The sequence below is a fragment of the Homo sapiens genome, chromosome 3 (genome assembly GCF_000001405.40).
Source record: "Homo sapiens chromosome 3, GRCh38.p14 Primary Assembly".
NCBI lineage: Eukaryota > Metazoa > Chordata > Mammalia > Primates > Hominidae > Homo > Homo sapiens.
This window is the reverse complement of record NC_000003.12, coordinates 149,413,302-149,428,873: the sequence shown is the minus strand read 5'-3', so window position 1 is coordinate 149,428,873 and position 15,572 is coordinate 149,413,302.

Genomic DNA, 15,572 nt, shown 5'->3' with positions numbered 1-15,572 from the left:
GAGAGAATAGAGAAAAACTCCAAGATGCCAATATCTTGTCAGGCAGTAAGTGCCTGAGAGGGTGACATGGATTGGCTCTGTGTCCCCAGCTAAATCTCAGGCTGAATTGTAATCTCCAGTGTTGGGAGACAGACCGGGTGGGAGGTGATTGGATCATGGTGGCGGATTTTCCCCCTTGCTGTTCTCATGAGAGTGAATGAGTTCTCCTGAGAACTGGTTGTTTGAAAGTGGGCAGCACCTCCTCCCTCACTCTCTTTCTCCTGCCATCATGTGAAGACCAGGCTTTCTTCCCCTTTGCCTTCCACCGTGATTGTAAGTTTCCTGAGGCCTCCCCAGCCATGCCTCCTGTACAGCCTGCAGAACTGTGAGTCAGTTGAACCTCTTTCTTCATAAATTACCTAGTCTCAGATAGTTCTTTATAGCAGTGTGAGAACGGACTAACACAGAGGGTCCGGTGATTAGGAGTAAAAAAGGGAGAACTCCAAGATGCACAGTGTGAATCTGGCTTTAATTCTATTAGCTCAGGAATATACATTCTAGGGACAGCTGCATTCTCTTGGCTTCTGGTCTAAGGTAATGATGTCAACAAACTGTAATCAAGGAGAAATGTTCTTGTTAATTAGGTAATGAATGGGACTTTGCCATGCTCTGTATTAAATTACTTTAATATCCAGAGCAAAAGAGGCTTATTTCTGGCAAGCTCACTTTCAGAATCTAGACAATGGAAATAAGAGCCAATAGAAAAAATGCCCTCTAAACTTTACTGCAGTTCTTGGTGGTTCACATGGGATGCTGGCTCATTTTTTAAGGAGCCCAGCCCCTCGATCCAGGTTTGTCTGATTGTTTCTCACAGTTAGATTCAGATTAAATATTTTTTTTGGTAGGAATTCTATATAGAAGATGGCAGGAAACACGTGATGCCACTTTGTAATCTACTCCCATCCCTCACCCCACTCCATGCACACTTTAAAATAAAGGACACTCAAGCAACCTAGTAAGACTAAGCCTTTGAGAATCCACACACCCTTCTTTATTTTCAGCTGAAGATTGTATTTAAGTCTGAATTCAGAGCCACTTCCTTGTGTTACTTATTCTCTGAGTTTCTCATATATATAGAGAGAGATAGATAGATGATAGATGATAGATAGATAGATAGATAGATATGAATGTACATAAATGTCCATATTTCTCTTTTGTTAGTCTGTATTTTTTTACAAGGGACTCAGTTGAGAACCTAGAAGGGTAGAAGAGTAGAAGATTTTTCCTTCCCTACAAACCAAAAGGCGGCTTTTTAGTCTTTTATATTCTGACCAGGCCAGACACTCAAAGGTTTTGTTTATTTCTGAATAAACAAAAATCTGGGCTCACCATTGAGTTGGCTTTTTCAATTAACTTCCATAAACTTTGGATTTAGACCTTGGACATGCTCACCATAAAGACCCCAAGGTACTTTTAAAGACCTTCCTGAAGAGAGAGATTATCATTTATTATGAAGAATTGCCCAAGTGTTGCACATAGGGAAACATGATGCAAGGAAAGAAAAATACATAAACAAGTAGACATTCTCAATATTGAGCAGCTTTCTTGTTTAACAGAGTGATGTTATTGCTTTCATTCATTCATTCATTCAAACAAGTGGTTATTGAGCCAGGCACTGTTCTAAGTGCTGGGTTATACCTGTGAACTAAACTAACAAACCATCATTTTCTTCCTACTGTAACAAAAAGATTTGTCTCTTTTTTTTTTAAAGTAAATGTTTGTGGCAGATTAAAAGACATTTCCTCCTGAAAATGCATCCTTGCTATTTCTGTGCTTATGGACATAAATAAGCACTTAGAAAATTACTCTTGAGAGGATATGCCAGGAAGTTGATGCTGGTTATCTATTTTCCATGGGAAGGCAGTGCTTTCAGTGTTTCTACTTGTGTGACTGGCATTTTTCTCTGTTTTCCATGTGTTACCATGTTTTTATGTAACCACAAACTTGTATTCATTTTGCTACCTGAAAAATGAAAATCTTGTCTCTTAAGAGCTCTGCTGTAGGTGAGGTTTCCCAGGGCCCAGGTGCACTCATCCTGAGTAGTGTGGAGGAAAGGAAAACTCCGTCATTCACAGGGGCGGGAGAACAAGAGTCGGCTTGTTTTTTTATTTTTATTTTTTTAAAATATCTTTAGCCTTATCTGTATAGAACAACTGAAGTCATGAAGATACCCTAGTTTAGTTACAAATTTACTTATTTTCTGAGCAAATTCTAGCATGCAGTAAGGAGAGAGGGTGTAACCACATTACTCCCTGGAGTTCCATTTAGCCTCCCTGGGACCCCATGGGAAAGAGTCAATAGAGACAAAAGGAGAGTTATAAGGGGCTCAGCTGAGCATGTCTGGAGAAATTTCAAGTATGTGTCCCCATCAGATACAAAGGGGAGTCAGCATGAAAAGAGAAGAGTCAGCTTGGAGATCATTTATTTAAACTGTTATCTGATCTTTGAAGGTCTCCCATTCAACAAGTGTGCACGGAGGAGCCACATCGAGCCCCTGCACTGTGCCTGCCCCTGTGTACCGTGCTGAAACACATGTCCTGCTCTAACTGAAACTTGCATTCCAGTAAAGGAGAGCCAGCCAGGGAGCAGTCTCTTTTTGTCTGAAAATTTCAAAAGTTGAAAAGTGGGAGAATAAATATTGTTCTAACCTCCAACTACTCTTTTTTTTTTTTGGCAGGATCTCACTCTGTCACCCAGAGTGGAGTGCAGCGGCACAATCAAAGCAATCCTCCCGCCTCAGCCTCCAAAGTAGTTGGAGGGTGCACTACAGGTGCAGCCACCACACCCGGCTAATGTTTTTTGTTTTTTATAGAGATGGAGTCTCCCTATGTCACCAGGCTGGTCTTGAAGTCCTAGGCTCAGGCAATCATCCCCCCTTGGCCTCCCACAGTGCTGGGATTAAGGCGTGAGCCACTTCACCCAGCTGAATTATTAAATAGTACCATTTTAACTCATTGACAGAATTTAAACCAAACCACTAATCAAAAGCTGGCTACTATTTTATTTTTATTTTTTTTTTTTTTGCATTTTAGGCAACTACAATTTGCCATGAGACTTCTAATGTTGGGTTCCTACATAAGAACAAATGCTTCCCCATCCATCAGCAATAGCTATGAGAATCTCAGACTTATTTCTTCTCTTTTTATGGGCAGATGAAGCAGCTCTCCTGTTTTATTTTTACTTTTCCATACTCACCAACACCTAAGTTCTCTTGGTATCTTTGAATATTTGGAAGTTTCTTATGCATGTACTAACTTATTTAATCACATAGTATTTTCTTTTTATGTTGTTAAGTGGTAACTAATCCGTTTATCCAGGTCCCTTATCAGAAAAACTATCACTGAGCTGATGACCAGGAAATAATAGTTAGGTTCTACATGTATTATTTTATCATAATACCATAAAAGAATCAAAGTTAGATCTATGTGTAGAATGGAACTTAAGAGGGCTGGTGGTTGTTCGGATTTTTAAAAGATGCTTGAAAAGCAGAATCACATTAAAAACAGCATGTCATAGCATGAGGGGTTCCTCTCTGCAGTGGCATGGCATCAAATCAAACCAAGAATGGCACCACTTACAGGGCACTTGTCATGTGTCAGGCCTAGAACTAAACACTGTCTATGCATCCTTTCTTTGAACTCTCACAAAAATTCTGCTTAGCATTCCCATTTTACACAGGAAGAAACTGAAACTCAGAGAGGAAGCACAGCCCACGGATACATTGTTGTTAGTAAATGCGGAGTAAGGGCTTTCTGGCTCCAAAGCCTGTAGCCACTCCTAGTCACTATGAAATGTTGAGGTTATTTTCATTTTCATTCATGGAAGGAATTAGATCTTTTACAGAAAAGCAGTACAGCTCATCCATTGCCCACTTCTCAACCCTGGGTATTCCATGAAGAAACTCACTTTTTATTGGCATTAGTGAAATGCCACACAGCAATAATAGTTGAAAATCTTTAGTTCAAGTAAAAATTAAATAAAAGAATACCTGAAGTAAATGAAGCATGATAATGATGATGATGATAATAATGCCTACTGGTACTTAAAACATATAGTCAGCAAAGAAAAACATATACAGGTATTTGCAAATATTGTCATTCATCACACTACAATAGCTACAATATGATATTTAGAGTTTGACTGTGCCTGGAAAATTTTTTTATTAAAAACATGTGATCAAGATGGCAAATATTAATGTTTTTGCTATTAAAAAGTTATTTCAAATTAATAAAAGCAAAATTATCTTAATAGAAGGGCAAAGGACATGAACATTTTAAAGCAGAAATAATACGTAACTAATAAAGCCATGAAAATGGCTAAAGTTGAAGATAATCAAATAAATGCAGATTAAAATCTACATCTCCACACCCTATTTTCCCTGTCAAATTGGCAGTGATGGAGAAAAATGATAACACAACAGCTTGTGAGAGTGTGGTGAAGTGAGACTGATATATTTCTGGTGGGAAAGAAATGGTTATGCTTTTTCTAGAGAGTAATCTGAAAATATGTTTTGCTAGCCCTAAAAATGTAGCATCTACATAAGGGATCATTAGACACTGAAATATGATTTTAAAATAATATTTAACAACATGATAAAACATAATATTAAGTAAAAAAATTACATTGCAAAATGATGATCAGTTGTGTAATGAAAACACTTTACATAAATATGTGGAAAACAGATTAGAAGTAGAGACCAAAAATGTTAGAGGGATTGTCCACAGGTGATGGGATGATAATTCCTAAGGTCTGGCTTCCTCTCTCTCCCAGGCTCCAGTTTTCCCAGCTTGATTGCTCCTTTGACATCCTGATCTAAGGAAACCTTGCTTTTCCACCCTCTTTTCCCTCCATCTGTCAGTAGGCATAAGTAGTCCCAGCTTGAAAAACTTCACTACAAAGCCCCTCTGGGCATAGTTTTACGTCCTTTTTGCCCTTGAATCTCAAACTTGTTCTTAAATAAATTTCCTATTAAAAAACTTTATAATCAACACGTGGTTACTTTTTAAAGTTGAAATTACATGTTTTAAAAAAGATATTGCATGTTCTTTTTAGTTTCCTTAGCTTGTCTGCCCCCAGGTGAAGGTAGGACCACAGTTTATCTGCTCACATCCACCACAGGCTACATAAGGGAAACCTTGCTTTCCACAAATTGCCCCTTCTCCAGCCCTGCCCCTTCTCAGTCAAAACAATGGTTCCTAAGGCTCAAGGCATCCTTCAGCCTCAAGGAGAAAAAAAGAAGCCAGGAAATTAAGTAATAATCATATTACTTAGAGATGAGTGCCGTTAACAAATATATAACTTTCCGGGATTATTCTGTTATAGCTGAGCCCCTTGGAAAGCTGGTATTCAGTCACTATCTCCTGAAGAGTCTTTGCTTAACCAAACCTTAATCAAGCTCCTGAAGCTTCTCCTAGGCCCATCTGTGTATTTCCATGTAAAACCCAGTTTTAGCAAAGAGCCCTGCTAAGTCAGTTTAGCAAGGCCTGCCCCTGCCCCCCTACTCCCCTGCACCACCCAATATCTGATCACCCTTGATATCTGATGGGTCCCTCATCCTCCACCATCCCCCAGGTGATGCCTGGTCACTCTGATCTGACTTCAGCAAGAATCCTTTTAAGTTCGTTTAGTCAGAATCCCCCTGAAGTTTCTTCTTAGTAATTTCCCGTCCACTGACCCCCACCTTGCTCCTTGGCTATAAATTCCCACTTGCCCATGCTGTACTTGGAGTTGAGACCAATGTCTCTCCCTTCCTGCAAGACCCCATTGTAGAGGTGCCTGAATAAAGTCTATCACAATGGTCCTGAATAAAGTCTTCCCTACCATCTTTAATAAGTATCATTGAGTAACTTTTTAGTTAACAATCCCTTTCCTCATCTTTTCACTCCTTAATCTTCAGAGACTGGGCTTCTCCCCACACCTTCCTGGCGAAGATCAAAAATTACACCCTGGACCTGGCACGGTGGCTCATGCCTGTAATCCCAGCACTTTGGGAGACTGAGGTGGGTGAATCATATGAGGCCAGGAGTTCAAGACCAGCCTGGCCAACATGGCCAACCCCACCTCTACTAAAAATACAAAAATTAGCCAGAGATGGTGGCTCACGCCTGTAACCCCAGCTACTTGGAAGGCTAAGGCATGAGGATACCTTGAGCCCAAAAAGTGGAGGTTGCAGTGAGCCAAGATCATGCCACTGCACTCTAGTCTGGGTGACAGAACAAGACTCTGTCTAAAAAAAAAAAATTATACTCCGTCACCAAAGTCAATGGATAATTTATTTTACTGGAACTCTCTGATGAGTTTAAATTCACTCTTACTGGCAATTCAGAATTGAATTGCTTAGTTTATAAGACACTTGTCTCCTGGTTCTCCTTGAATCTCCAAGAACCTCAAGGCCTTTCATCCTCTGCCCGTTCCGTTTCCAACAGGAACAAAGCTCCATCATTGGCCCAATACTCTCCTCTCTCTGCAAGCTCCCTTGGGCAATCTGAAACAAATTTTTGCTTTCAAACATTATCTTCAGCCCTAATCTGTAATTTGACTCAGGTAATACTACCTAAAAGTACACCCAATAAAGCATAGTTAAAAAGGCTAAAGACTTTGGGATAAGATGTGCCTAGGTTTAAAACCCAAGTCTGCCCTTTAATAGCTATCTAAATAATGAAAAATAATTTAATGTCTCTAGAGCTCAGTTTCTTCGCTTGCAAAGTGAGTACATCATAGTACTGTAATTTCCTCAGAAGAATGGTACATAAATTAAATTAAATAGTGCATTTAAGGTAAATGCTCAACAGATTTAGTCACCATGATTTTGATGCTCCAAAGGCATTTTAAACTTATTATCTCTAAAACTGAAGTCAGTTAATTATGTTGCTGCTATCCAGTTACCTAAGCCAGAGGCCCGGAAGTCATTCTTCCCACAATAAGAATGACACACAGATTCCTGGGCCCTGCCTCAGACTTATTAAATTAGAATATCCAGGGAAGGCATTGGGAATTCTGTAGGTCTACAAGCCTTCCAGATGATTCTTGGCAGAGAAGGTTGGGAAACTTCTTTGTACTTCTCCCTTTCCTTCCCCACCAGTCACCATGTTAGACCAATTTTATCTACAGATTATTTCTGGAATCCACCGCATCCTCTCCATCCCTACCACTACTTTCCTAATCCAGCCTAGACTAAGTCTAGGCTTAACCTTAATCGGGGTGGATGTTGATGGATGTGACTGGAAGGGGTATCCAGGAGTTTCTTTGTTTATGTCTCTCTGTCTCTGCCACTCTATATTTCATCTCTCTCTTTTGCTCCTTCTTTCTCCTTATTTCTTTTCTCACAACCACCTTACTCATAAATAAGCACTCTTAGGGCCTGGGACTGGTACCCCTACCTAGCTGCTGCCACTCTTCCTTCCTGAATTTGGACCCAGCCCCTGAACTCTACAGCTCACCAACAAGGATCCTGCAAAGTGAGAATGGATGTGCCGGTATCAGGCCAAATCCTCGCCGACTTCCAAGTGTGTAACGGCCCTAGATTCAGAACAGCTTGCTCAGAGCTGCCTGACTATTTTGGACAACTGCAGATCCAGCCCAGACCCTGGGTCACCTTCAAGACCCATCTCCAAAGCTTTGTGACCTCCTCTCCTCCCCACCAACTGGTGGATCCAACTTCCTCCCCATCGTGGGGAAAATGCTTTAGATATACTTTAGTGAAAGAATACACATACAAAATTATATAAGGTAGGATCACTGTTGAGAAAAGAAAATATTGAATCTTTGCATATAAAAATATTAAATAAAATTTTAAAATGTCCCATTGCCTTCAGTGATATATCAATGTGTTAAGTAGTTATCTATGAGTGGTGAGGTTTCACAAGTTTGATATATTATAAATTCATATGTTTTATAGTTTCAAGTAGTAAATGAATAATACATGAGCTGGGATGACCAATTGAAATGTCATCTGAGTTTTCTCCCTTCATTTGTCCCTTGTCTTCCATCCTTCATCCTCATTTCTAGCTCAGAACCAGGCTTTGTAATTTCTGCCTCGGGAATTTTGGACAAAGATGTCCACCTTTCACAACTGATACAACCCAGAAGGATACAATTATGTAAGGTCAGGGTATTAGTCTGCATGCGCTGTCATAACAGAATACTGCAGATTGGGTGGCTTAAACAATAGGAACTTATTTTCTCACAGTTCTGGAGGCTGGAAATGCAAGATCAAGGTGCCAGGGGAGGGTTGGTTTCTCTTGAGGCCTTTCTTCCTGGTTTGTAGACATCACCTTCTCACTGTGTCCTCACATGGCTTTCCCTAATGTGGAAAGAGAGAAATCTCTGGTATCTCTTCCTCTTTTTTTTTTGCAGCCAAGGCTGGAGTGCAGTGGTGCAATCTTGGCTCACTGCAACCTCCGCTCCCCAGGTTCAAGTGATTCTCCTGCCTCAGCCTCCCGAGTAGCTGGGATTACAAGCATGCACCACCACGTCTGGCTAATTTTGTATTTAGTAGAGACAGGGTTTCTCCATGTTGGTCAGGCTGGTCTTGAACTCCCGACCTCAGGTGATCCACCCAGCTTGGTCTCCCAAAGTGCTGAGATTACAGGCATGAGCCACCACGCCCTGCCCCTCTTCTTCTTTTATTTTAGTTTTTATTTTTTGTAGAAAGAGTCTCTCTATGTTGCCCAGGTTGACCTCAAACTCCTGGCCTCAAGCCATTCTCCCACCTCAGCGTCCCAAGTGCTGGAATTACAGACATGAGCCACCTCACCTGGCCTCTTCTTTCTTCTTAAGGACACTAGTCCTATGGGATTAGGGCCCCACCTTATGACATCATTTAACCTTAATACCTCTGTAATAACCCGTATCTCCAATTACAGTCACAGTGGGGGTTAGGGCTTCAACGCAGAATTTGGTGGGGGACATAATTCAGTCTATAAACGTCAGTGGTTCTCAAACTTCAGTGTGCACCAGGATTACATGGAAGGCTTGTTAAAACAGAGATTGCTGGGGTTTTTGTTTGTTTGTTTGTTTGTTTTGTTTTTTAATGGGGAAGGAGAAGAATATACGAATGCATAATTCCATGTATATCTAGAAAGGTAGTAAAAACCTCTTAACATTGGTCACCATTAGGGAATGGCCAGAAATGGCAGGGGTGTATGACTCAGGTTTTTCCCACATACTGTTTTGTATTTAAATATGTACCATGTTTATATATCACTTCAAGAACATAAAATTATCTCATCTATCTATCTACCTATCTCTACTGAACCTTTAATAGAAACACTGACTACAGCCAGTTTTGTCATTTAAGCTAGTCATATATATTTTTTTTACCTTCTCCCAGAAACTAGGTCTGTATTTTGGCAAATAACAGTTTGCAAAACTGCTAAACTTGTATAAAGGTGGACATCTCTGTGAAAAGAGAAGAGATCATAGCATGTAGTCACGAATTGAAACAATGAACACACACTACACCTTCATGTAAGTCTTTGAGTGTCTGAAACATGATAGCTTATGATCCTTTGCCTGTGAATTGGTCTCATGGGACATGATAAGAGCACAAACCATTTGAAAACTTTACATTCCCTTCATAGTGAAAAAGGATTGCCAAAGAAAACAAATTCATAACTCTTAGTGACTTCTTAAATGACAAGATTCACTAGGAACTCAAAATTATGGAGTAAAAATCTGCTTTTTGGTTTCTCCTACCTTTTATAGCTTATTGAAGTATAACTGACATACAATAACCTGCACTATTTAAAGAATACAATTTGATAAATTTTGATACATGGAACCAACAACACAATCAAAATAACAAACATTTCATTACCTCCCAAAGTCTCCTTGTATTCCTTTGTCATCCTTCTTTCCCATTCCTCCCCACAGGCAACTATATATTTGCTTTCTGTTACCATACATTTGTTTGCATTTTCTAGAATTTTATAGAAATGATTCACACAGTATGTACAGTTTTTTGGCCTCTTCCTCTTCCTCTTCCTCTTCTTCTTCTTCTTCTTCTTCTTTTCTTCTTTTTTTTTTTTTTTTTGGGATGGAGTCTTGCCCTGTCGCCCAGGCTGGAGTGCAGTGGCGTGATCTTGGCACACTGCAACCTCCACCTCCCGGGTTCAAGCATTCTCCTGCCTCAGCCTCCCAAGTAGCTGGGATTACAGGCACACACCACCATGCCCAGCTAATTTTTGTATTTTTAGTAGAGACGGGGTTTCACCATGTTGGTAAGGCTGGTCTTAAACTCCTGACCTCGTGATCCACCCACCTTGGCCTCCCAAAGTGCCGGGATTACAGGTGTGAGCCACCACGCCTGGCCTGGGTCTGGCTTCTTTAACTCACTCAAGTTAAAGGAGTGTGATATTTATCCATGTGGTGTGTATCCAGAGTCCATTCGTCTTTGTTGCTGGATAGTAGTCCATCATATGGTTAATCACAATTTGTTTATTCATTCACCTGCTGATGGTCATTGGTTTGTTTCTGATGAACCACCAATATCATTTTTTTTCTCACAATCATATCTCCCCATTTTACAGATGAAGAAATGAAAAGACTCTCAGAGGCCAAGTAACTTGTCTGAGGTACAAAGACAGTACTTGGAATATAAAGCCTTAAATTATTACAATGTTTGAGCTGAAAGGAATACTAAGGCATCTCTCTCTCTCTCTTGTCTTTCTTTCTTTCTTGCCCTCTTGCTCTTTCAACTGCTTGGTGTTGAGATTTGATTTGTGATCAACATGAATTATTAAGTATTTCTCTTTATTCAGGGTAAAGTCAGAAGGTTCTTCTTTGTCAGCTAAATGCTGGTACCCTTTTATTTAAATTCATTCCTAATATGCTCCTACCGTAGGAAAATATTCTGGAATGTTCTATCAGCCAAAGGTGGCCTTCTCTCCCACAGGAGCAGGAGTGTGTTGGAGCTTACTTGTGCAGGCTCATAAGAGCTGCTTGTTAGGTTTTTAAAAGCTAAACACGGTTGTTATACAAATTAAATAATATACACTTTCAATTAAATATATGATATTAAAAACAAAGTTGAAAACATTGTAAAAATTCATTGCTTACTAATTATTTTACTACATTTTACTAACACCTAGGCTTTTAAAGTTATTTTGTTTCTTCTTAATTCTACTTCCAGTGATGTAACATTGGTAGCTCAAAATCAGCCTTGGTGGGACTATTTACATGATGGAAATTGGCAAAAGACAAAACTCAAGGTGGAATTTATTATTTTGTTGATTGACTAGACTTAAGAACATGATAGAGAAAATGGTAATAATTTAAAATCTCTATTACATTGTGACTAGCACAAAAACCAATAAATTTTTTTTGGTATTTGAAAACCATTACACAATTTAGCAAAGAAATTGCTCACATCATTGATGAATGAGGTTCTGATAGATATCTTCCTCATTTTACTTTCATCTTATTCATTAACATAAACAAAAATACCAACCAATATTCAAAGCGAAACTACTTACGGAGCCAGGTGTTAAACATTTACCAGCAAACCACCGCCTTTGAAATTAAACCCTATGCAAAAAACAAAACAAAACAAAACCTAGCCTACAAGACTAGTTTCTGTTTAGATCTCATAGGAAATCAAAATCTCTAAGAAAAAAAAAAAACAAGAAAACAGTGAAATCAGAGCTGCCAATAGAAAATATTTAAAATTTGTTATAATTTAAAAATGGATAATACAATAAAATGGCTCAAAAAGGTATACAATAAAATTCTCTCTTACCAGTATCCCTCCGCCATGCAGTTCCCCTCCTCAGGGCAATATCTATTACCAGTTGTTGAGTTTTCTTTAAGAGATGGTCTATATATAAACAAGTAATATAGTCTATTCTTCTTCTGCCACCCAATTTGGTATACATATGAACCCATAAAATACTAAAATACACTATTTTGTACTTTGCTCTCCCCCCTTTAATATATCATAAAGCTCTATCCACATCAGTGTCATGGCTGCATAATAGCGTATGGATGTAGCATCATTTATGTACCTATTATTTAGCTACAATGCAGAGACACTGTAACGGTTTCCAACAGGACTTAATTTTAACCCATGTATTTTAGAATCTGTATATCTGCTGTACCTGGTTATGATTTGTTGTGTCTCTTCTCATTAAGTTATAGAAAGTGAGTCAATTCATGCAAACATCAGCACACATTTACTGAACACCTACTAGGTGACTTGCACTGTGAGGGATGCAAAAATAAAATTTTAAAACATGATTGGTCTTAATACTCCTGTCACCTAGCTTGAAATCAAGAAAATAAGAGTTTAATAATGATCCAGATAGCAGCCTAGGAACTGTCACAAGACTTCACCTTTAATTAGCTTTTGAGCTTGGACTAGTCATTCAATCCTTGTGAACTTTTGTTTGCTCATCTTTAAAATGAAGATGACTATTCCTGCCTTGACCCCCTCTTTGGGTTGTTTTGAGGATTAGAGTGGACCATGTTTGCAAACACTAAAAGACCACACATATCTATGGGTACATGACCTCTCCTGCCTCATCTTGTCCACATTGTGTTCCAGCTATGTTGAACTTACATATGTCCGGACCCTCCACATGTAGGCCTCTGCATGTGCAGTGTGACTCTCCTAGAATGCACAACCACAATCGCCCCCGTTTCCAGTCACACCAATCCCTACCCTTCTTCAGCTCCCAGATTTCCTGACCTCCCAAGTTTAGATCACGTGCCTTTCCTATATACTTCCTGAGAGTCCCCATCAGGACACTGCCATTGCTATGTCATGGAAGGGGAAACTGTTTATGTCTTGTTCACAGTTGTATCCTAAGCTCTCAATAAATGTTCAGGAAATGAGTAAATGAATCAATTGCCTTTAAGGAAATGGGCAGGGGGACAACACTGAGTGTGCTAAGGCCAGGAAGACCTTTATCTACATTCTCTTCTTTGGTCTTCACCATACTCTATGTGATAAAAATTATTATTTGCATTTTATAAACTCAGGGGGTTAAGTGATGTTGGAACCCAATGCTGGCAGACCCAAAGGATTTTCTCCATAATTTCACTCTGTCCCTCCATATTATAATATCACTCTATCCCCAAACGCAATGGCAAACAGTGATTGATAATTACTATGGCCAACCACAGGGCTATTTGTGTCATTCATTCAGTCCTCCCAAACTGCATGAAGTGGATGATGTCACCATTTGCAGATAAGGAAATGAGAATGCCCAAAGGTGAAGTGACTTGTTAAAAAGTGCTGTAAATTCTCCAAAATGAAAAATCGTGGTGAACTGGAGTGGACTGAGAAGACTCCATGGCAGAAGAGAGATTGGAGTTGATACTTGAAGAAAGGGTAGTGTTTAGATTCTAGAAGCAAAGTTGTTGGAGGGGTTTCTAGTTGGGGACAGAGAGAAGGGCATGAGTATTTGAGAAACAGTGAGAGGGCCAGGTGACAAGAGAGAAAGATCATGTCTAAGAGTAAAGGAAACATAAGATGCAGAGGTTGATTGGTTTATATTATGAAAAGCCTAGAAAAAGTGTATCTCAGAAGTTGTTTTTAAGGGAAATTGGAATAATTTTATGGAAATGACATGGTGAAGACTGTATTTTAGTTTTCCTTTCCTTTAAAATAGGAATTATATGTGATTTATATAATTTTCTTGTGGATTTAGCTTTAGCTAAAATGTTTTTTTTTCCTTAATAGGAATTATAACCCATCTTATCCCAGAGTTTCCACTTCTGAGAGCCAGAAACCATGAGAAATGGAAAGTGCTAAGAGCCCTTGAACTCTGCTATTTCAGGGTGGAGCAGGACATACCATTCCATTCAGTGAAAGACCTTCTGACTTTTTGTAGTTGAGAAAGCATTGGAGTCATATGTGATTTGTGTAGCAAGACCTTTGAAGTCAAATGGCTTCTGAGCAAAACTGTGAATTTCCCCTTCCCCTCCTCAATCACTTTCAAACTAAACTCAAAAACCATCAGCAAAGATCAAGTTCCCATGGTTTTTTTTTCCCTTCTATTTGGCCCTCATGCTCTTTCTTTTTGGCCCAAGTTTTCAAGGCAGGGTTTTCAAGGGACTCTTGCCTGTTTTTCATTGGCCTACTTCCTCCCATTCTCCTTGCCTTCCACAGAAGCACCCACACAGGAAGGGCAGACCTGTCCAACACCTGCTCTTCAATTGATGAGGCGCTCAGGGTTGTGTGACCTACACAAACTGTAGATTGAGAATCAAGTCTGAGGGAGCATGAGATGAGTATTTATCCACCTCTTCTCATGATAGAGCTGTGCACCAAGGAAATCTTTAGTCAGCAAATGTTTTAAATGCAGACAACCTCAGTACAGGTAGGAGCTGAGCATTTGTACTTCTGAGGCTTAACTTCTTCAGAGGGGCTCCCAGCTGGCTTGGGCACCCAGAAATTTCAGGCCCTGTGCCTTAGATTCGCTTCTTCAAGGTGACACTGCCCTAACAAAGGTGACTATATAATTTATCATACAGACCAGGACACTTCTAAAAATAAAAGGGATTGTGAAAAATAATTAAAACTATATAGTTTTAAAAATATTTGTTGAATGAAAAATTAGTTTCATTATTATTGAACTTATAAGATATAATAGTTCTATTCAAAAACTATTTTTATAAATAAAATTGCTTCCAAAAATAAAAATAACATATTCATATTTACTAAGGCAAAATGTAAAAAGACTTACTCATATCGATCCTTTGAAAATTAATCACATAAGAATAATTATTCTTGGTATGCAGTAACATACTTCACTGTATTTCCTAGATATACCTTGTCTCTAATACCATATCACAGTGTATGTTTTTTCTGAAGACTGTATATATTCTTTTTCAATAAGTTCTTTTTATTTTTAATTTTTCATAAAATTATCTGAAATAGCCTTCAAATTTGTATCTTATAATTAATTAATTTGAAACCATTAGCACCTTTTTTCTGTAGTTATATATCAAATTTTTAAAATTTACAGCTGGGAGCAGTGGTTCATGCCTGTAATCCCAGCACTTTGGAAGGCTAAGGCAGGAGGATCCTTGAGGTCAGGAGTTCAAGACCAGCCTGGCCAACATGATGAAACCCCGTCTCTACTAAAAATACAAAAAATTAGCTGGGTATGGTAGGGGGTGCCTGTAATCCCAGCTACTCAGGAGGCTGAGGCAGAATTGCTTGAACTTGGGAGACAGAGGTTGCAGTGAGCCGAGATGGTGCCATTGCACTCCAGCCTGGGTGACAGAGTGAAACTCCATCTCAATAATAATAATAATAATAATAGTAATAATAATTAAATGTAAGGTCTACATAATACTTGCTAAGTACAGAGAAAATTATAAACAGAAGAGTTTTAACCCTAATTTTATTTTTTGTATTGAAATATATATAAATATTTCAGTCCAAATATTTTTATAAATACTGTCATTTTTGCCTCTTTTGACTATCAGCTTGGTACCTTTGACAAACATTTTTAAAAAGGGAAAAATTATTTAAAAGTTCTCTATAATATGATTATTTGAGTGTTTGAACAAATATAGATACTGCA